Source organism: Homo sapiens, chromosome 8, assembly GCF_000001405.40.
Source record: "Homo sapiens chromosome 8, GRCh38.p14 Primary Assembly".
Classification (NCBI taxonomy): domain Eukaryota; kingdom Metazoa; phylum Chordata; class Mammalia; order Primates; family Hominidae; genus Homo; species Homo sapiens.
In genome coordinates, this window is record NC_000008.11 from 39,649,000 (window position 1) to 39,671,908 (window position 22,909).

The 22,909-nt window shown below is 34.0% G+C and overlaps 1 protein-coding gene across 3 annotated transcripts in view, besides 4 other annotated features; it reads left to right on the forward strand.

Annotated features, from left to right (window-relative positions):
• The window catches only part of ADAM18 (ADAM metallopeptidase domain 18), a 145,498-nt gene that overhangs the window by 64,432 nt on the left and 58,157 nt on the right, over positions 1 to 22,909 (forward strand). For all 3 annotated transcript variants that reach the window (NR_135201.2, NM_014237.3, NM_001320313.2), the window contains 2 exons: positions 14,796 to 14,891; positions 18,999 to 19,197. Coding sequence is in view for 2 of the 3 variants with exons in the window: in NM_014237.3 (NP_055052.1) it covers positions 14,796 to 14,891; positions 18,999 to 19,197 (295 nt within the window). In the remaining variant the exon portion in view is untranslated. The remainder of the gene's footprint in view (positions 1 to 14,795; positions 14,892 to 18,998; positions 19,198 to 22,909) is intronic.
• Positions 1,404 to 1,998: an enhancer, noted in NCBI's record as "NANOG-H3K27ac-H3K4me1 hESC enhancer chr8:39507922-39508516 (GRCh37/hg19 assembly coordinates)". NCBI's record gives its function as "activates a minimal SCP1, AML or CMV promoter by ChIP-STARR-seq in naive H9 embryonic stem cells {active_cell/tissue: H9 hESC(naive)}" and the evidence as "EXISTENCE:reporter gene assay evidence [ECO:0000049][PMID:30033119]".
• Positions 1,999 to 2,592: an enhancer, noted in NCBI's record as "OCT4-NANOG-H3K27ac-H3K4me1 hESC enhancer chr8:39508517-39509110 (GRCh37/hg19 assembly coordinates)". NCBI's record gives its function as "activates a minimal SCP1, AML or CMV promoter by ChIP-STARR-seq in naive and primed H9 embryonic stem cells {active_cell/tissue: H9 hESC(naive and primed)}" and the evidence as "EXISTENCE:reporter gene assay evidence [ECO:0000049][PMID:30033119]".
• Positions 2,238 to 2,438: a silencer, noted in NCBI's record as "peak6997 fragment used in MPRA reporter construct". NCBI's record gives its function as "represses an SCP1 promoter by STARR-seq MPRAs in K562 erythroleukemia cells {active_cell/tissue: K562}" and the evidence as "EXISTENCE:reporter gene assay evidence [ECO:0000049][PMID:32103011]".
• Positions 2,593 to 3,186: an enhancer, noted in NCBI's record as "OCT4-NANOG-H3K27ac-H3K4me1 hESC enhancer chr8:39509111-39509704 (GRCh37/hg19 assembly coordinates)". NCBI's record gives its function as "activates a minimal SCP1, AML or CMV promoter by ChIP-STARR-seq in primed H9 embryonic stem cells {active_cell/tissue: H9 hESC(primed)}" and the evidence as "EXISTENCE:reporter gene assay evidence [ECO:0000049][PMID:30033119]".

The following is a 22,909-nucleotide window of genomic DNA, read 5'->3' on the forward strand; positions in this document are numbered from 1 at the left end:
ATTTTAAAATATATGTATATACCCGATTATAATTTCATCAATCAAATGTTCAATGAACATTATTTTCAACAGGTGAGATGACATACTTAATCTATTTTAAATGTTATTATCTTATAATATTTAACAATTTGTCTCTATTTCAATAAAGTTTCTTCATGATTTATCCCCCAACAGTTACACGAATTCCTCCTCCCTACATAAACAGCTGTCACCACATTTTAACATACCATTAAATTCTCTCAATTCTTTTAAGTCATCCTATATTTCACAAGGTAAAACCTATATGTATGAGGCTGTGTGTATCTCTATATGTGTATATACACACACATATATCACACTTAAATGTATGTTGTACATATATAGTACACACACACATACATGTATATATATATATATGTTTCCAATTATCTCATATTTTCCCATGCTGTCTTAGTTTTCTGATAAGCTGTACTGTGCTCATCTTGCAGTCTCCTACCCCTAAATATGGTATCATTTACTGCCAATAAATACTAGCTATTTTTTATGAATCATAAAATAAAGCAACACAATCTGGGGCTAGGTTTTCACATTTTGGGTTTCTACAACTATAGAATGTAGGCAGATTGACACTAAGAGCAGATATAGCCAGTGTCCCATCAGTATTCCCTTTATATTTGCTGTTCCGGCAGTATTTTTGTTTCAAATATCAGAGACATTCTGCTGGAGTGTGCTTCCTGTTACCTCAGTGGTATGTGCATCCATTAGCAGGGTGGGCTCAATGTGCTTGGAAACTAATGACCAGCCATCAGATAATTATGATGGTGAGTACCAGATTCCTTTCTCCTTGTGAGGAAATTCTCGGAGGCATTTTCTATATCATAGTTCTTTAACTGTGGCCAGTTGGTTAAATCCAGCTGCCGCCCGCCTCTTCTTGTAAATGAAGTTTTATTGAAATACAGCCTTGCCCATGTGTTTGAATGTTGTCCATGCTGCTTTTGTGCTATAATAGCAGAGGTAAATAGTTGCAACAGATACTATATGACAAGCAAGTCTGGAAATAATATTTGATTTTTTACAGAAAACGTTTGTTAATCAAAAGGGAATTTATTGAGTAATTTGAACTATATGAAAGTTAAATGAAATGAAAACCAAGACATTTCAGAAAGATTCTATACAGAATCTGTGATAACACTCCTGACATCAGAGGCCCTGAAACACCATTACAGTTATCACAGATTCTATATTCAGTCACTTTGAAAACCAATTGTAGGCTTTTTGTAAAATAAATAAAGTTATAAATTTCTACTAATAGCAGTGAAGAAAAAATTTCTTATGCAATACTAAGAAATAAAAGGTATCAAATTCAGAAAATAAGTTAAATTGTCTCTGCAGATGACTTGATCATATATATAGAAAACCCTAGTGTCCAACAAAAATTTACAACTAATAAATAAATTCAGTAAAGTTGCAGGATACAAAATCAATATACAAAAATCAGTAGCTCTTCCTACACTAACAACAAACTGTATGAAAAAGAAATCAAGAACACAGTCTCATTTACAATATCTACAAAAAATAAATACTTGGGAATAAATTTAACCAAGGTGATGAAAGATCTGTATACTGAAAACTATAAAGCATTGTTGCAGGAATGAAAGGAAACAAATTAATGGAAAGATAAACCATGTTCAAGAGCTGGAAAAGTTAATATTGTTAAAATATCTATAGTGGCTAAAGTGATCTACATGTTCAATGTAATCTCTATCAAAATCCCAATAACATTTTGCACGAAAATAGAGAAACAATTTTCAATTTTGAAGGGGTGGCCTCCCCCTCCACACCTGTGGGCGTTTCTTGTCAGGTGGAATGAGAGACTTGAGAAAAGAAAGAGACACAGAGACAAAGTATAGAGAAAGAAAAGTGGACCCAGGGGACTGGTGCTCAGCATACAGAGGACCTGCGCTGGCACCAGTCTCTGAGTTCCCTCAGTATTTATTGATCATTATCGGGCGTTTCTCAGAGAGGGGGATGTGGCAGGACAATAGGGTAAGAGTGGAGAGAGGGTCAGCAGGAAAACATGTGAACAAATGTCTCTGCATCATAAACAAGGTAAAGAAAAAAGTGCTGTGCTTTTGATGTGTATATACATAAACATCTCAATGCCTTAAAGAGCAGTATTGCCGCCAGTATGTCTCACCTCCAGCCCTAAGGCAGTTTTCTCCTATCTCAGTAGATGGAATATACAATCGGGTTTTACACCAAGACGTTCCATTGCCCAGGGACAGCAGGAGACAGATGCCTTTCTCTTATCTCAACTGCAAAAAGGCCTTCCTCTTTTACTAATCCTCCTTAGCACAGACCCTTTACGGGTGTCGGGCTGGGGGACGTTCAGGTCTTTGCCTTCCCACGAGGCCATATTTCAGACTATTACATGGAGAGAAACCTTGGACAATACATGGCTTTCCTAGGCAGAGGTCCCTGCGGCCTTCCGCAGTGTATTGTGTCTCTGGGTACTTGAGATTAGGGAGTGGTGATGACTCTTAACAAGCATTCTGCCTTCAAGCATTTGTTTAACAAAGCACATCCTGCACAGCCCTTAATCCATTTAACCTTGAGTTGACAGCACATGTTTTCAGGGAGCACAGGGTTGGGGGTAGGGTTACAGATTAACAGCATCTCAAGGCAGAAGAATTTTTCTTAGTACAGAACAAAATGGAGTCTCTTATGCCTACTTCTTTCTACATAGACACAGTAACAGTCTGGTCTTTCTTTTCCCCACAAAATTTATAAGAAACCACATAAGACCTTAAAACCCAAGCAATTCTGAGTGAAAAGAGCAAAGTTGGAGGCATCACAATACCTGACTTCAAAATATACTATAAAGCTATAGTAATCAAAACAGCATGATAATGACATAAAAACACATAGATCAATGAAACAAAGAGCCCAAAAATAAATGGACACATTTATAGTCAATTGATTTGTGACAATAAAGGATGTTTACTAACTGGATATTCACATGTAGAAGAACAAAATTAGACTCTTGTCTCACAAAATATAAAAAACCAATGCAAAATGGACTAAAGACTTAAAACTAAGACCTGAAACTATAAAATTATTAGAAGAAAATATAGGAAAAAGCTCCACAACATTGGATCTGGCAATGATTCATAAATATGACACCAAAAACACAGACAGCAAAAGCAAAAATATAGAAATGGAATTATATCTAACTAAAAAGCTTCTACACAACAAAGGAAACAGTCAACAAAGTAAAGAGAGAACTTAAGGAATTAGAGGAAATATTTGCAAACTATACATCTGATAAAAGGTTAATATAAAAATATATAAAGAACTCCAACCACTCAATAGCAGGAAAACAATCCAGTTAAAAATGGGCAAAGGACCTGAATAGACATTGCTCAAAATAAGACAAACAAATGGACAACAGGTATATGAAAATATGCTCAAAATCACTAATAATCACAGTAATTCAAATTAAAATCAGAAAGAGATATTACCTCACACCTGTCAGAATACGATCATCAAAATAGATGAATGGTAACAGATGTTGGTAAGGGTGTGGAGTAAAGGAAACCTTTGCACACTATGATGGAAATATAAATTAGTACAGCCATTACAAAAACAGTATGGAGGTTCATCAAAAACTTAGAACTTCATATAATCCAGTGATCCCATTACTGGATATATATTCACAGGAAACAATAGCAGTATGTTGAAGAGATGTCTGCACTTTCATTTTAATTTCAGCCTTGTGTACAATAGCCAAGGAATCAACCTAAGTGTCTATCAATAAATGAATGGATTAAAAATCTGGTAGAGATACACAATGGACTACTATTCAGACTTTTTTAAAAGAAAAAATTCCTGTAGTTGGTGACAACATGGATGAACCTGGAGGACATGTTGAGTGAAATAAGGCAGGCATAGAAAGACAAATACATCATCTTCTCACTTATTGTGGAATCTAAAAATGTGAAAGTCATACCAGCAAGGAGTAAAATGGTGCTACCAGGGGCTGGGAGTGGGAAACTGGGGTGATGGTGGTCAAAGGATACAGAATTTAAATGAGATAGGAGGCATAAGTTCATGGTGACTATGGTTAATAAAGATGGATTGTATACTTGAAAATTGCTAAGAAAGTAGATTTTAAGTGTTTTTACCACAAAATAATCAGAAGTTTGTGTGTCAACGCATGTGTTAATTAGCTTGATTTAGCCACTTTAGAATGTATACATGTATCAAAACATCATGCTGTACATCATTAATACATAACATTTTTATTTGTCGATTTTTTAAAAAATGTATTTTTAAAAAAAACAACAATAATGGTCATTAAAGTTGAAATATCACTAAAGATCTATACAGATATTAAAAAATGGTAAGATGATATCATGTACATTATATAAGTAAACAACAATCAGATAAAATTGACAAATTATCCTAAAATTGTATTTATAAACACCAACATAAGTCAATATTAAAAAAGTGAATAAATAGCCTTAAAAGAAATCACATCCATAATTTCACAACCTCTCATCAGAGAGAAGTTCATGCCACATGACTCTACAAGTAATTATTTAAAAGTTAAGGAATTCTACTGATTTTAGACTTAGGAAAAAACCTAATATGCCCTAACTTCTTCGAGGATAAAATAATCTTGATGCAAAAATCTGATGAGGATATTTCAAGAATAGTTTTTATGTGTTTTTAATTGATATATCATAGTTGTACATATTTTGGGGGTACATGTTATATTTTGATACATGTATACAATGTGAAATGTTCAAATCAGGGTACCTGGGGTATATTTTCTTTGTGTTGGGAACGTTACAATTCTTCTCTTCTAGCTATTTTAAAATATGCAATAAATAATTTTAAACTATAATTTACTTATTGTGCTATTGAACACTAGAACTTATGTTTTCTATTTAATTGTATTTCTGTACCCATTAACCAACTTCTATTCATCCCACTTCCCTTCCCAGCCTCTGGTAACAACCATTCTACTCTCTGCCTTCATGAGATCCACTTTATATGCTTCCACACATGATTGAGAACATGTGATATTTGCCTTCTTGTGTCTGACTTATTTCACTTAAGATAATGTCCTCCAGTTACATCCATGTTGCTGCCACTGACAGGATTTCATTCCTTTTTTTTTTTTTTTTTTTTGGAGACAGAGTCTCGCTGAGTCACCAGGGCTGGAGTGCAGTGGCGCGATCTCAGCTCACTGCAAGCTCCGCCTTCCAGGTTCACGCGATTCTCCTGCCTCAGCCTCCCGAGTAGCTGGATCTCCTGACCTTGTGATCCACCCGCCTTGGCCTCCCAAAGTGCTGGGATTACAGGCGTGAGCCGCCGCACCTGGCTGATTTCATTCTTTTTATGGCTGAATAATATTCTATTGTGTATATAAACCACGTTTTCTTTTTCCATTCATTTGTTGATGGGCTCAGGTTGATTACACACCTTGGCTATTGTAAATAGTGCTTGCTGCAATAGACATGAGAGTGCAGGTATCTTTTGAGTATACTAATTTCCTCTCTTTTGGATGTATATCCAGCAGTGGGATTGCTGGATCCTGTGGTAGTTCTATTTTTTGTTTGTTGAGGAAGCTTCATACTACTTTCCATAATAACTATAATACTTTAGATTTCCATTAACATGTGCAAGCGTTTCCCTTTCTCAGCATCCACATTAGCATTTGTTATTTTCTGTCATTTTGATAATAGCCATTCTAACTAGGATGAGATGATATCTCATTGTGGGTTTGATTTGTATGTCCCTGATGATAACTGATGAATGTTTTCTTCATATATCTGTTGTCATTTGAATGTCTTATTTTGAGAAGTGCAGGGGATTTTTGTCCATTTTTAAATTGGATTATTTGGTTTTTGCTATTCGGTTGTTTGAGTTCCTTATATGCTTTTATATTAAGCTATTATCAAATGTGTAATTGGCAAATATTTTCTCCCATTCTTTAGGTTGTCTCTTCACTCTGTTAATTGTTTCATTTGCTGTACAGAAGCTTTTTAGCTTGATGTAATCCCATCCATTTTTACTTTTGTTCCCTCTGCTTTTAGTCTTGCTTAAAAAAAAACTTAGCCCAATTTCCCGTAGTGTTTCCACAATGTGTTCTTCTGGTAGTTTCATATTTTCAGGTATTACATTTAAGTCTTTAACTCACTTTTAGTTAATTTTTGTAAATGGTGAAAGATGGAGATCTAGTTTCATTCTCATGCATATAGATATTTCATTTTCCCAGTGCCATTTATTAAAGAGACTGTTCTTTTCCCAGTGTATGTTGTTGGATATATCCATATTTCTCATGAACACAAAATCTTCACTAAATGATTAACAAATTGAAAATAATGATACAACATATACATAAACAGTAACATTATGTTCTATTGTTGGGGATATTGTGGTTTATTTACAGAATGTAAAAAAAGTGATCATCTCAATGGATAGATAATAAATTTTGAGAAAAAAAGGAAAAGAGGGAAACTCACTATATTTAAGAAAGGGTATCTGTAAAATCTACAGTTAACATCATGCATAACAGTTGTTCTCACTGAGGTCAGAAATGAGGCAGTGATATCTGTTGTCATCTTTCACACTTATTATTGAATGTGATAAACTAGCCACCAAAGCAACAAAAAGAAAATGCATAATAGTTGGAAGAGAGGAAATTTAGATTTCATTATTTATAATCATATCATTGTATGCATGAAAACCCAAAATAATCTAGAAATAAATTATTTGCACGTATAAATGAATTTATCGAGGTCACTTGTTACATAGTCAATTCATAAAAATCAAATATTTCTTTATAAATGACTAGAAGAAAAAAATTTAAAACAACAGCATCTACAATAATACCCAGGAACATGAAATACTTAGGAATATATATAATAAAACATGTATAAGACTACTAAATATAAAACTGCAAATCATTAGGAGAAAAATTATGGGACTACTTAATCAATGCAAGGATATGTCATGTTTTAAAATTAGAGGAATTAATATTGCTAAGATGTAATTTTTTGTCCAAATTCATCATCCCGAAGTGCAATTCCAATTCATATGCTAGCAGGAATTGTGTTTGCATATGTGTTGGTATATGTAAATAGACAAGCTGATTTTCAAGTTTAAATGGAAACATGAAAGGCACAAAGCTAGCCAAGGTGATCTTGAAAAAAAAAACAAATTTGGTCCACTGAAATTTTCATAAATCTATTTTCATTATAAAATTATAGTTATTAAGGCAGTATGGTATATGTGCCTGGACAGACACAGACAAATGAAACAGAATGGAATCTAGAATAGACCTACATAAATATCATTACTGTTTTGTGACAAAAAGGACAGAGGAATGCAGTGTAGAAAGGATGCCTTTACAAAAAATGACGCTGGGACAATTCAATATACATAAGAAATAGTCTTTACCTATTTGGTTTATATATAGAACCTAATTTCAGATATATTGTTGATAAATGTGTAAAGGTAAAAAAACACAAAACAAAGTGTAAAACATAAGCGAATATGTAGTCTAATAATTTTCTCTAAATGTCAATATTACCTAATATTTACAAATTAGATGTTGATAAAATAAAATATCAGATAAGAGATTTAAAGGGTAGATTATACAATAGGAGATTGTTTTCTCCACATAAATGTGACAGGAGATATGTACTCAGATAAAGAATACATATAAATCAATAAGAAAATGACAGACTTTCAGAGAAAAGAATTGACCTAATTCTTAAACAGAAACTTTCAAAGTGGATTTACTAATCGCTAATAAATTTGTGAATCGATGCTCAGCATCCCAAAATGCAGATCAAAAGCATAATTTGAAAACAACAAAACACCATCAGAATGGCGAAAAAGAAAAAAATTGGTGAGGATAAGTAGCTATTAGGCACTACTGTTGGTAGTGAAAATTGGCACAAGTGAAAAGTGCTATTTTATTGTAAAGTTGAACACATACATAAATGTGATCCAGAATTTCAGTCTCAGGTATATATAAAACATAAAACATTCATATCATAATAGCAAAGAAAAGAAAGCAGAGAAATAGCCCAAATATTCTTCTTCAGCAAAATGAAAAACAAATTGTGCTATAATCATAAAATAAAGTATGCTGCACAAAACAAAGTGGTTGAATTCAATAAACATTATTTTGAGCAAGATAACCAAGGCCAAGAAAATTATAGTAAGTTAAAAAAATAAAACTATTATAGACTGTTAAAAGTCAAGATCACATTTCCTTTTATTGGTTAGTAGTCACTAAAAAGGTCTTTGTTTGTTTGTTTGTTTTTGTTTTTTGAGACAGCCTTGCTTTTATCATCCAGGCTGGAGTGCAGTGGCTTGATGTCAGCTCACTCTAACCTCTGCCTCCCAGGTTCAAGAGATTCTCCTGCCTCAGCCTCCCGAGTAGCCAGGATTACAGGTGCCCACCACCATGCCTGGCTAGTTTTTTCTTTTATTTTTGGTACAGATGAGATTTTGCTATGTTGCCCAGGCTGGTTTTGAACTCCTGGCCTCAAGTGATCCACCCGCTTTGGCTTCCCAAAGTGCTGGGATTACAGACGTGAGCCACAGTGCCTGGCCTAGTTACTAAAAAGGGGTTAAAGGGAACATCTCAAGACTTGATGACACTATTCATGTTGTTTTGGGGAAATGTCAATCTCTTCTAGAAGTGTATTCAACATATAACTTTAGATACGTTCATTTTAAAGGTAAACAGTACATCTAAAAAGTAATATATTGGAAATTGTATTTTGAATGAAAAAGACGTGAAAGAACAAAGCCTTTATAGTCTTAAAAATGAGAAGAAAGGAAAAGCAAAACAAAAAACCTATGATACCTCATAAATATTAAAAATATAATGATGTCATAGTAAGAACATAACATGTCAGGAATAGACATAACTGTTAAAAGGTTATATTTTCCTATTAAATGAGAATTATATTGTATTATAAAATATCCAGCTGTATGCTCTCTACATTTCCATATCTACAGTAATCAAAACACATAGGGAATTGTTTCGGGAATCTTTGAGCTGAGATTACCAATGGCACTCCTGCTGATGCAAATTAATAATTTGTTGCTTTTTATTAACTGAGTGAAATGAAACATTTATAAATCAAAGAAAAAGAACTTAAAAGAATCTATGGCAAATTCCTTAAATTGTTTTATTAATATAATTGTGGTAGGCAGAATATCATCCTCTCAAAGTTGCCCCCATCTCATCCTTGAACCTGTGTGCATGCTATTTCACATGGCAAAAGGAACTTCGCAGGTGTGATTAAGTTAAAGACCTTGTGATGGAGACAATATACCACATTATTCAGATGCATCCAATTGCTCAGATTTTTTAAAGCAGAAGAAGAAGGAGAAGAAAAGCTGATAGTGATGTGCTATGACAAGAATTTGACTTCCCTTTACTGGCTTTAAAGATAGAGGAAAAAAACATGAGCCGAGGAATTTGAGTGGCCTTCTATGAGCTGAAAAAGGCAGGAAAATAGATTCTACCAGAAAGCTTCCAGAAAAGAACGCAAGCCCACCAACACCTTGATTTTTAGCTCATTGGACTTCTACACTACAGAAGTTTAGATCGTATGTTTGCATGGTTTTAAACCGCTAAGTTTGTGGTAACCTGTTAAAGGTTACAGCAGTAAGAGGAAAAAAACACAGTTACACTAAGTAATAAGTAGGTTGTTTACGCTGGTTTCTTAGTTTACCACTGCTGAGATTTCTTTCCCAGAAATCTAAGTAAAAATAACACTGCATTAGGGAGGGTTGAAAATGGAATAATGCTTCTGGAGAGTACCGTACATGCCCCTCTTCATTATAACCTGAATGTTGGAGGGCAGATGTGCTATTACAACTTTTCTTATTTGAGTTGTGGAGAGGAGTACTTCCTATATTCTCTAATCAACATTTTAAAATAATATATTTTTCAAAATTGAGAACAAGATGAATAATAAATGTAAAGAACACTTCACATTTCCAACTTGATCTCTTGCTAGAAAACATTTAAAATAGTTTTGGGGAATGAGAATGTCTAAGTCTTAATATAGAATGCCTTCAGGGAAATTTGAGACAATTATAATGCATGAATGCATGACTGATTTTTAAAATAACCCATGGAATTTTGAAAATTACATATATTCTTTTTTCATTATAAAGTTCCCTTGCTATTAGATTATGCTTTTTAGTGACTGTTGTTATACATTATCTGATAATTGATTAGTTGTTTGATAGCTAAAATAATTGATTGGATTTTTACATGGAAAATTACCTACGAAATCTTAATTTTCAAACATATTTTCTAAGGATCCCCTAGTACTGGAATGAATAATTTAAAAAAAAAACAAGCAAATACACAAAAAAGCAAGTATGTGTGTGATATATTATGAAAGAAAACCAAATTATAAACATTGAACAGTATATAAGCAATAGCAATTACTAAAAATGTAAAAACTAAGAAGATGGGCAAGATAGTGAACTTAATATAATCAATGAGATGTCTCTGAAATATGTAAAACAAAATACGTGGAATATGCACATATCCATCCATAGAATATGCACCCTGAAATATATAAAACAAAATACATGGACCATGCACGTATCCATAGTTCATAAGGCTTTAATATACCTCTTTCAGGCTATCAAACAACTAATAAATTATCAGTAATTAACAACAGTCACTAAAAAGCATATCTAATAGCAAGGGAACTTCATAATCAAAAAAAGAATACACATAATTTTCAAAATTCCATGGGTTATTTTAAAAATCAGTCATGCATTAGATCATGCTGAAAATAATTATAGATACCAAAAAATCTGAAAATAAACGTGTATTCCCACAACATAATAAAGCTGGATATTAACCTAAAACACATTGTCCCTGACAATCCATCTGCAAAGAAAAAGAAATGCTTTATTTTTAAAGACATTTAAACTGGGGGGAGAGGTGAAGTCTTGAGTTTTTGTATGTGACTGAAGTTTTTATCAGTATACAATAATTTATTTTAACTATAAGATATTTTATGTAAGCCTTATGATAACCACAACGCAAAAAACTATGGCAGGTGCACAAATGAGAAAGGAAGTAAAACTTAACACAAAAGAAAATCACCAAATCACAAGGATAAACAACAAGAGAAGAAGAAAAGAACAAAAGATCTACAAAACAACCAAATAACAACTAAAAAAATGGCAGTAGTCAATTCTTGCCTATAAATAGTTACTTTGACTATAAATGGATTCGATTATTGAATCAGAAGACACAGAGTGGCTGAATGGATTTTTTAAAAAGATTAAATTATATGCTACATCCAGGAGCCTAGCTTTAGCTTTAAGGACCCACATAGGCTGAAAGTAAAGGAATGCAAGACTATATTTCATGCACATAGTAACCGAAAAAGAACAGGGACAGCTATATTAATAACAGATAAAGTAGACTTCAAGTGGAAAACAGTCACAAGAAACAACAAAATACTTAATGAAAATGGTATAATTCATCAAGAATACATAACAATTATAAATGCATCCAATACTGAAGTACCTAAGTATATAAGGTAAATATTAACAGACATTAAAGGAGAAATAGATGGCAATACAGTATAATAGGAGAGGATTTTAATACTCCACTTTCAACAATGGACATATCAACCAGACAGAAAATTAACAAGAAAGTACTGGAAAAGCTGTTTTAAAAGAATAATATGAACATTCCAGTCCTGTAATTAGGAAAATATAAAATAAGCATTAAAAAGTAGTAATTCTAATCAATAATAGCAAATGCAAACATTTATAATCTGTGCAATATTAATGCAATATTGTGCAGAAACAGAGTTAACGTACCAGCCCTGAAGTTGCCATCTTTAGAAAGACCTGCTTCTAAGGTTGGCCTTCAGTTCAGGTCTGAGAAGTTGAAGTTTTAAATGTTCCATAGGTGATAATGTTGGTTTGCTTTCCCAGACTGTGATGTTGAACAATTTAATTTATGGTAGATACCTGCTTCCTTTTGGGATTCTAGAATTTTGGTTACTGTGATTGATCATTTAAGTACATGATCAGGATGCCTATATGACCATACTCAAATAAAAAAAAAACCAAAAAACAACTGTTTCTTCTTCTTCTTTTTTTTTTTTTTTTTTGAGGGAGTCTCGGTTTGTCGCCCAGGCTGGAGTGCAGTGGTGCGATATCGGCTCACTGCAGGCTCCGCCTCCTGGGTTCACGCCATTCTCCTGCCTCAGCCTCCCAAGTAGCTGGGACTACAGGCGCCCACCACCACACCCGGCAAATTTTTTTTTTTTTTTTTTTTTTTTTTTTGTATTTTTGGTAGAGTTGGGGTTTCACCGTGTTAGCCAGGATGGTCTCTATCTCCTGACCTCGTGATCCGCCTTCCTCAGCCTCCCAAAGTGCTGAGATTACAGGCGTGAGCCACCATTCCCAGCCTCTCTTTTCTATATTTTTATAATGTTTCTTTGCAGTCTCTAATTGGTCTGTTAATGGTGCCTATCAATTTGAGTAATTTGTAATATTCTTGTTCCTTTAGGACTATTGGGTTTTATGTATTGATTATCAAGACCTCCACCATGCCAAGACTATAAAACAGTATCAGTACTTTATTCTTATATTTTATTGCTAATTTTAAGGCTTATAGCTTTACTTTTTGTAAAATGTATCCCTCTATATGCTGTGAAATATTTGTTCAAATATTTATTAGCAGTGATACATGTGAACACAGGTACAAATAAGGTGCATGCAGCCACATTTGTATGGGTGAGTGGGTACAAAACAGAGCTTCCATTTGTGAAAAATGGAGGATATTTATGAAGATACAGGTGTCAATGCCCTTTCGACAAAGACTACCTAGAACATATCCGTAGTGTTACAAATTAGGCTTATTTTATATATATATATTTTATATATATATAAAGGCAACCAGATATCATATAAAATCTGTTTCTGTTATCTAATAGGAACAGGGAAAGAAAAAAGCTCTGCTATGCAAAATGGTCAAAATATATGATTATTTAATTCATAAATAAAATTGCACAAATGCAAATTTATGCACAAACTCACTGGTAATCAGAGAAGTAATAATGAGAGCTTTGAGATCAGTTTTTCCATTCCTTGTTACAAATTAAAATGATTGGTCATAATTAGTACTGCTAAGTATTGTGGTACAGGGAGAGCGTCTTCATTAATTACTAGTGAAAGAATATATACACACACATACATTTATACAGCATTATTTAACTTTGGAAGGTTAAACAGTAAATTATACAATGTGATTACCCCTAGAGAATCTGGAGTATGTAATTACAATTTCAACTTCTGCTCTATATTTTATATATTATTTGATTGTATAAGCATACGTCCATTTACATGCATACATATGAAAAAGTGTGAACAAATGGAAATTTCAAAATTAAGAAGAATCCTGCCTTTATATTAAAGGACAAGATCTTTGAAACTAGATCTCTGAGTAAATAAAATTGTTTAATAAAAGAGTTAAGAATATAAAAATATGGTGTAAATGCAGTGTTATTTACATACAAATAATATTTGTTTTTTAAGATTCTTTAAAGTTATTACCTAATTTATTTGTTTATTTATTTGAGATGTAGTCTCACTCTGTCACCCAGGCTGGAGTGCAGTGGCATGACCTTGGCTCACTGCAACCTCTGCCTCCCAGGTTTAAGCGAGTCTCTTGCCTCAGCGTCCTGAGTAGCTGGGATTACAGGCACACACCACCACGCCTGGCTAATTTTTGTATTTTTAGTAAAGGTGGGGTTTCACCATGTTGGCCAGGCTGGTCTTGAACTCCTGACCTCAAGTGATCTGCCCACCTTGGCCTCCCAAAGTGCTGGGATTACAGGCGTGAGCCACTGCACCCAGCCCCTATTTGAATAATAATTGACTGCCATTTACTTTTTAAAAATAATAGGTATAGTCTTTTTTTGTTGATTTCTATTATAGTAAAACATGGTACATAAATATATACTAAGTACATTTTTATTCTACTTACTGCCTCACTCTAACTTTATTTACAATTGGAATCCTTAGTAAACAAATCACCCATGAGACCCTTGAGAAAAGTTTGTTTCTCCTAAAAACCACCTTTTCATTCCCCCAAGGATATGTTTTGGTGTTGGTAACTTACGAGTTAATTATGAAATATTTTAGCTGATGAATATTGCTGACCAACTGCTATTTTAGATGTTATTTCTGCAGTTCTTACACTTGCATGTACCTGTGGCTATTCTAGAAATAGTAAAATAGGGTCTGGCATGGTGGCTAACTCCTGTAATCCTAGCACTTTGTGAGGCTGAGGCAGGAGGATCATTTGAACTAAGGAGTTTGAGACCAGCCTGGGCAAGATAGTGACACCTAGTCTTTACAAAAAAAAAAAAAAAAGAAAAAAAATATCTGGGCATGATTGCTTACACCTCTGGTCCCAGCTACTCAGGAGGCTGGGGTGGGAGGATCACTTGGATCTCACTGGTTGAGGCTGCAGTGTGTCATGATCACACCACTGCATTCCAGCCTGGGTGACAGAGTGAAATCCTGTCTCAAAAAAAAAAAAAAAAAAAAAAAAAAAAAGAAGAAGAAAAGAAATGGTAAACTAATACAGCTTCATTGGAATTATACAATTATATTGTATAACTACAAGTTTGTACACAACAGAATATTAAATTGAAATTGAGATTAAGAAACAAGAGCTTTTAAGTGGTTAAACTGTAATAATATTTCTTCCTGTAAAATTTTAGGAATGTCAATTTAAGAAGTGCTGTGATTATAACACATGTAAACTGAAGGGCTCAGTAAAATGTGGTTCTGGACCATGTTGTACATCAAAGTGTGAGGTAAGTTACTAACATTCATTAAAAGCAAATTGAACTGTGGTAAGAGACGTCTGTATTAACTGAATCAATGTGCAATTAATAAAAAGAATATATAAGGAATTTAGTGAAATAAAATGTAGAGTGCATGAACAAACACAAGTTTAAAGGAAAATTGCTATAAAATATAAAAGTCATCTCAGACAGGTACGGTTGCAGTTACTATATGCATGGGCTCCACATACTGAACCACTTAATACGTGCAAACATGAATTAGGTGCATTAGCATGATGCATGTGAGATTTATTCCTGTTGTGTCTATTAGCAAATAATTCCTTTTTGTTGCTGAATAGTATTGCAAATATTGTAAAGATATGCCAGAGTTTATTTTTATTTTTGTCTTTATTCCCTAAACAATACAGTATAACTATTTACATAGCATTTATATTGTATTAGGTAATATAAGTAATACAGAGATAATAAAAATATATGAGAAGATGTGTGTAAGTTATATACAAATGTTACAAGATATTATGTAAAGGACTTGAGTGCCCATAGATTTAATATGCCTGAGGGTTCCTGGAACCAAATGCCCATGGATTCTGAGTGATGATTCTATTCTTTAGTGTTAAAATCACAAAGTTTACCATCTTCTAAATTATCAGATAAAAGGGAGAAAAAACACACATTACTACATCCAAAAAGTTATTAACTCTCAAATAAATTATAAAGTCAAATAAATGATGAATGATTATGGAAAAAATTGTAGCATGAATAGCAGACAAAATATGCAGCATATAGAATGTGTAAAGAACTCTCATTGATAACTGAAATGCAAATCATACACATACAATTGAAATGAACAGTATTTATTGATATTGGAATGATTACATAATTATATATTGTACAAGAGTTAGTAAATATGGACTAAATATTAATGCAGTAATATAGTATTATGTCCAAGACACACATTTGGATAAGAAAACAAGTTCCTTAGTAGCAAGATATTTTATTATTCCAATTCTGGTAAATCACCTCTATGTAAATATTCTATGTATTTTTTTTGTTGAATTTAGCTATTAATGTATAATTTAATATACTAAAATTCTGTTAGTGAATATTCCCAAGTGTCAGAAGAAACATATTTAAGCTTATAACTAGCATCATAAAAAGGATAGGTGATGTCATCACTCCTCTCTCACATTTCCCTGTGCCTCTTTATACTCAGTCCATGACTCCACCCGCAGCCCCTGGTAACCACTGATCTGTTTTCTGAAGCTGTAATTATGCTTTTGCAAAATTATCACATAAATTGAATCATACAATATGTGCAAATGTGAAGCAGGCATCTTAACATAATGTATTTGAGATACATTCATGTTCTTATGTTTATTAGCAGATCATTCCTTTATAGTGACTGCATATTAGTAGTATTGCAAGGATTGTAAGGATGTACCACAGTTCATTCATCCATTCCCCAGTTGAGGGATATTTTGGCTGTTTTCCATTTTTGGTGATGAAAATATGGCTACTTTAATATTCATAAGCATATTTGTGCATGAACATAGTGTTTCATTTCACTTAGCTAGATACCTAGGAGAGGGATTGCTGGATCATATGGTAAATATGGAACTTTATAGGAAATTGAAAAACAGTCTTTCAAAGCAACTGTACTATCTTGAGTTCCCACCAGACACTTATGAGACTTACGGTTGCTTTGTAAATTGAATGTAAACACTAAAACTATAAAATATATGGTTTTGTGTTATCTTTGCTACTGATTTGTTATTTGTACCTTTTAAAAATCATTTAAATCATTGATCCATACAAATTATTGATTATAAATTACTGATTAACCATTGCTTTATGAATCATTAATTAATCAGGCTAATTTCATATTTCATTTCATGTGTAGTGAATAATTCTTATAATAGAACATGATCATATACCATAAAAACAAAATATGTTTTTACTATTTTTGCTGTATAGTCTTTTATCTTTTAGAGTAAATAAAAGAAGAAAAAAAATTAAATGAATTAACATCATTTGTTTCATTTCAGAGGTCTATTTTCTTTTGCAGATTTCTGTTTACTATCATATTTCTTGTACCTGAAGACCTCCCTTTACTATTTCTTGTCATTTATGTCCTCTGAAAATAAATTATCTCAGTTTTTTTTGTTTGTTTGTTTGAGACAGGGTCTGGCTCTGCTGCCCAGACTGGAGTGCAGTGGCACTATCTCTGCTAGCTGCAACCTCCACCTCCTGGGCTGAAGCCATCCTTCCACCTCAGCCTCCCAAGTAGCTAGGACTACAGGCACACACCACCATGCCCAGCTAATTTTTGTATTTTTTGTAGAGATGGGGTATTCCACCATGTTTCCCAGGCTGTCCTTGAACTTCTGAGCTCAAGCAATCTATCCCCCTAGGCCTCCCAAAATGCTGGGATTACAGATGTTAGCCACCACGCCTGGCTACTCAGTTATTTTTTGTCTAGGAAAGTCTTTGTGTCTCATCCTTTTTTGAAATATATAGTTACAGGGTATGGAATTCTAAGTTGAAAAAGTTGTTTTTAAATTTCATCACTTTTAAGTTACCATTTCTTTTATTTATTATGCATCTTTGTTTCATTATTGAATATTGTATTAGTTGGTTTTCATGCTGCTGATAAAGGCACACCTGAGACTGGGAAATTTACAAAAGAAAGAAGTTTAATGGACTCGCAGCTCCTCATGGCTGGGAAGGCCTCACAATCATGGTGGAAGGTGAAAGGCACATCTCACATGGCGGCAGACAAGAGAAGAGAGCTTGTGCAGGGAAACTGCTTTTTATAAAACCATCAGATCTTGTGAGACCTATTCACTATCATGAGAATAGCACAGGAAAGACCTGCCCCCTGATTGAATTATCTCCCACCGGGTGCCTCCCATCACATGTGGGAATTATGGGAGCTACAATTCAAGATTAGATTTGGGTGGGGACACAGCCAAACCGTATGAAGTATTAATTTCATCAAACTGGATTGTATTTTGTGTGTGTGTTTGTGTGTGTGTTTGTGTGCATGTGTGTGACATCAACATATATAGCAGGACAGCATTTCAACATGGTGAACTTCACTATGGATGGCAATCTATTAGGTCAGGCCACCACAAAATTTTGGCAATAACTGTACACCTCACCTAAGTGATGCAAGGAGGCGTTTATGCTCTTAGATAATAATAAACATATAAAAATGAGGCCAGGTGTGGTGGCTCAAGACTTGGCGCGGTGGCTCATGCCTGTAATCCCAGCACTTTGGGAGGCCAAGGTGGGTGGATCACCTGAGGTCAGGAGTTTGAGACCAGCCTGACTAACATGGTGAAACCCTGTCTTTACTAAAAATACAAAAATTAGCCAGGCGTGGTGGCATGTACCTATAATCCTAGCTACTCGGGAGGCTGAGGCAGGAGAATTGCTTGAACCTGGGGGATGGCAGTTGAAGTGAACTGAGATCATGCCACTTCACTCCAGCCTGAGCAAAAGAGCAAAACTCCATCTCAAAAAAAAAAAAAAAAAAAGATGCTGATATGATGATAGCTATCATATATGCACACTGCACTGCTTACTATGTATTGTTCTAAGAACTTTTTCCATTACTCCTGTTCAATACTAATAAGAACTCTATGAGAATTTGTCTTTTATTCCAAGCTTACAAAAGTAAAACAGATAGATTGTGTTTCTCACCCATACAAATAAGGTAGTAAGAGTGAGAGACTGGGACTGAAACCAGGAAGTCTGGCTCCTGAGTTTCTCCAAGAACAAAAAGGTAGAGACAGTGTTCCTATAGTTCCAAGGAACAGGTATGTTTAATCTAATGCTGTTTGAGTCAGCTTATTTCAAAATGTAGAGCACAAAGGAGGTGAGCAGCTGCAAACTCACTGTCAAAAGGAATTCTTTCACGTCTTTGAGACAGTTTTCTCTGGGCTTCACAATGAATACTGTATTTGATTTTTTTTGGCAAACTCACGGACTTGGGAACTCTGGTGTTCCCTCAAATATCAATAATTAGAAACATTTTATGTGATAAATCTTTTCACTAAGCAATTGAGAAAAATGATTTACAGAACTTAATTTTATTTTTCCTTTTCCTCCCAGTTGTCAATAGCAGGCACTCCATGTAGAAAGAGTATTGATCCAGAGTGTGATTTTACAGAGTACTGCAATGGAACCTCTAGTAATTGTGTTCCTGACACTTATGCATTGAATGGCCGTTTGTGCAAGTTGGGAACTGCCTATTGCTATAACGGACAATGTCAAACTACTGATAACCAGTGTGCCAAGATATTTGGAAAAGGTATTGCTCTTTCTTTCGTATTTATTTTACCTTACATTTGCATCTCTCTGTAGAGTACATTATGTACCACACAACTCTAGAAGTGGAAGAAACTGAACCACAAGATTAATAAAAATTAAATTTTAGTTAAAGAAGAGTAGTTTTTTAAGAGTATCTGAGGTTTTCCAAGAAAAAGACCATACATTATTTTTATTGTGGTTTGATTTTTGTTTTTGATGATTAGCTAGCTGGGCAAAAATCCATATTTACAGCTCATCATTTATATAAACATTAAAATCAGTAGATTCTAAAATTTATATAATTTCCTATTACTACCCACATTCATGATTTAATTTTAATGGCATGAAACTTACAAGGCTCAGAGTGAATTTCATTTAAAAATAATCATATTTCCTAACTGAGGAATAACTGCTAAGATAATGGTGGTCTTAAGCCACCTGATCAAAATTCATTTTTATGTTTTGTTTTTCAAACAGCTTTGAGAGTAATTTTAATAAGACTTGTGCATATATTCTTGCTTTTCTGGTGAGCAATTATTCATAATATCCAAATATAATTTTGTATTTTTAGAGAAATTAAAATAATAGAAACAGATCAAAATTACCCAGTGAAATGCATATATATATAATTATTTTCTAGTTGAGTAAAGGTGGTTTATTTGCCCAGTGGTAAGCTCAGGAATATAATTTGTACCAAATTACATTGTATATGGTCCATCTTGTCTTCCTAATTATTTGAGTAATAAATTTCAGATTAGGAGGCTTAAACGAAATTCAACAAAAGCTGCAGAACTATGATTTCTTAAATCACAAGTCAGTTCTATTTTCTGTGTGCTATTTTTCTAGAATGCTACTTTTTATGTGTGTGTGTTTTGTTTTTTTAATACTTATTTCTGTTTGAATAGTATTGTTATTTTTAAGCAGGGTTTAAAATATCTCTTAAAGGTAAAATTAAATAATACTTTCTGTAAGGTTCATTAAGTAGCGTCTACAATATATTCTTTTATTTTTTAATTAAAAAAAACTTCAACCTAGAATTCATTTACTTGACACATGACATCTTTTTTGAGTTCTTTTTTGTTTTTTTTAAATTTTATTATTATTATACTCTTTTTTTTAAATTTTATTATTATTATACTTTAAGTTTTAGGGTACATGTGCACAACATGCAGGTTTGTTATATATGTATACATGTGCCATGTTGGTGTGCTGCACCCAGTAACTCGTCATTTAGCATTAGGTATATCTCCTAATGCTATCCCTCCCCCCTCCCCCCACCCCACAACAGTCCCCAGTGTGTGATGTTCCCCTTCCTGTGTCCATGTGTTCTCATTGTTCAATTTCCACCTATGAGTGAGAACATGTGGTGTTTGGTTTTTTGTCCTTGCCATAGTTTGCTGAGAATGATGGTTTCCAGTTTCATCCGTGTCCCTACAAAGGACATGAACTCATCATTTTTTATGGCTGCATAGTATTCCATGGTGTATATGTGCCACATTTTCTTAATCCAGTCCATCATTGTTGGACATTTAGGTTGGTTCCAAGTCTTTGCTATTGTGAATAGTGCCACTATAAACATGCGTGTGCATGTGTCTTTATAGCAGCATGATTTATAATCCTTTGGGTATATACCCAGTAATGGGATGGCTGTGTCAAATGGTATTTCTAGTTCTAGATCCCTGAGGAATCACCACACTGACTTCCACAATGGTTGAACTAGTTTACAGTCCCACCAACAGTGTAAAAGTGTTCCTATTTCTCCACATCCTCTCCAGCACCTGTTTTTTCCTGACTTTTTAATGATCGCCATTCTAACTGGTGTGAGATGGTATCTCATTGTGGGTTTGATTTGCATTTCTCTGATGGCCAGTGATGATGAGCATTTTTTCATGTGTTTTTTGGCTGCATAAATGTCTTCTTTTGAGAAATGTCTGTTCATATCCTTCACCCACTTTTTGATGGGGTTGTTTGTTTTTTTCTTGTAAATTTGTTTGAGTTCATTGTAGATTCTGGATATTAGCCCTTTGTCAGATGAGTTCTGATTGCAACAGAATGTTTAGCAAAATGTATATTCCTATAATATATGTTCTAGGATCTCCAAAAAACTAGTATGAATGCATCAAAAATTTCATCCTCTGATGCAGTGTTTTGTTCATCCCCTAATTCATTCATTTCCCATTTTCTCCTTGATTCATTTACTTAGCTTTTTACTTGCAGGCATTTTTCTTCTGTTACCAAAAACCACAGGTGGTATATTATATGGGACATGTTAACTAACAAGTAGTTACATTAAGTTTGCATTCTTTTATTAAGTAAATTTAAACTTTTAAAGAAATGTTGAAATATAAGTAGATTTGCTTAATCAAAATTATACATCGAGTGTCTAAATGCAAAGAGCCTGCAATATTCAACCAGATGGACATTGCCATATGATTATTGTACTCATGGAGCTTAATGACTAAGAGAAAAAGACAGTAAAACAAAAGAAATATAAAACCTATAGCTGTGTTCTTTGCATTTAAAACAATAAAAATAGAATGCTAAAAGAAAATCAAGGTAGTGAATAAGGAAAATACCGCCATCTGTCATCAAGTAGTCTTCAGCTATCAGCTCTTCCAGAATTTGCCTCAACTGCAAAGAGAGCTTTTGCCCAAAGGCACACACTTCTCAAGCCAGCACACATGCAATGATTACGTGAGGTGGGGGTTTTATACAAAAGTCTGCCTCTTTTGGCCCAATCAAACACACACTGGCAGGTTATTTATACCACACAGCTACCTATTAGTCTGTTCAAGAACTTGTTGGATTTGCATCCCAGTTTGAATTCTCCTCTGCTCCATCCAGCTTCCTTCCCATTTCCAAATATTCTGATCTTTAATAAATAGCCTTCATCGTATGCCTCAATTAGATGTCAGCTCCTAGATGTCCCAACTACTAACAGTTGGTAATGAGAGTGGAGTGAGTAAATACAGACTGAAAGATGAGTTTTCAAATCCAAATCACTCTCTGCCAGGCTATCAGTGAGCACCTCATCACTGGTGGAAGTTGATAATATACTCTCTCAGCAGATTGGGATAGTATACTTGTAAGAGAGAATACATTAGCTGGTACAATTGAAATTAATGGGGCAAATAGTAACTTTAAGGGTAATGGCATTAAATGGCTATTGCCAAATACCATTGAACTTAGGAAAATATAACAAAAGGGCATGCATTTGAAAGCAAAGCGTGAGTCTAGAGGGCCTCTGCTAACTTATAAAGAGCCCCTCATCTTTTAAAAAAGAGGTTAGAGAGAGATGAGGAAGACTTAATTGAGAAGTTAAACTCTATATAAGTTTGAATTCCTTATCAGGTATATTTTTCAGGTTTGGGGTTCCAATTGGGAGAAGAATGGGACCTACCCTTGGGATGGAGACAATTGAAAATATGACTACCCTAATTTTGAGGCTCCAGGCTTCTTTGAGTCTATTGAACCTATAGAATGGCTTAGATCTGATTCCTCCCCCGTCCCTCTTCATAACACGAAGTGTATTCTCATCAGTATCTTCTCGCTATCCTTCGTGGCCACTAGCTGAAAATAGAGAAAAGGCACAGAATAATAGAGACAGGGATGTGATGGACTTTATAAAGCAGTAAGGAAACTATACTCCAAAAAAGATTTGGTCCTAGCCAGCAGTTACTGCTGGCATCAGGGAAGTACACAAGGGACTGAGT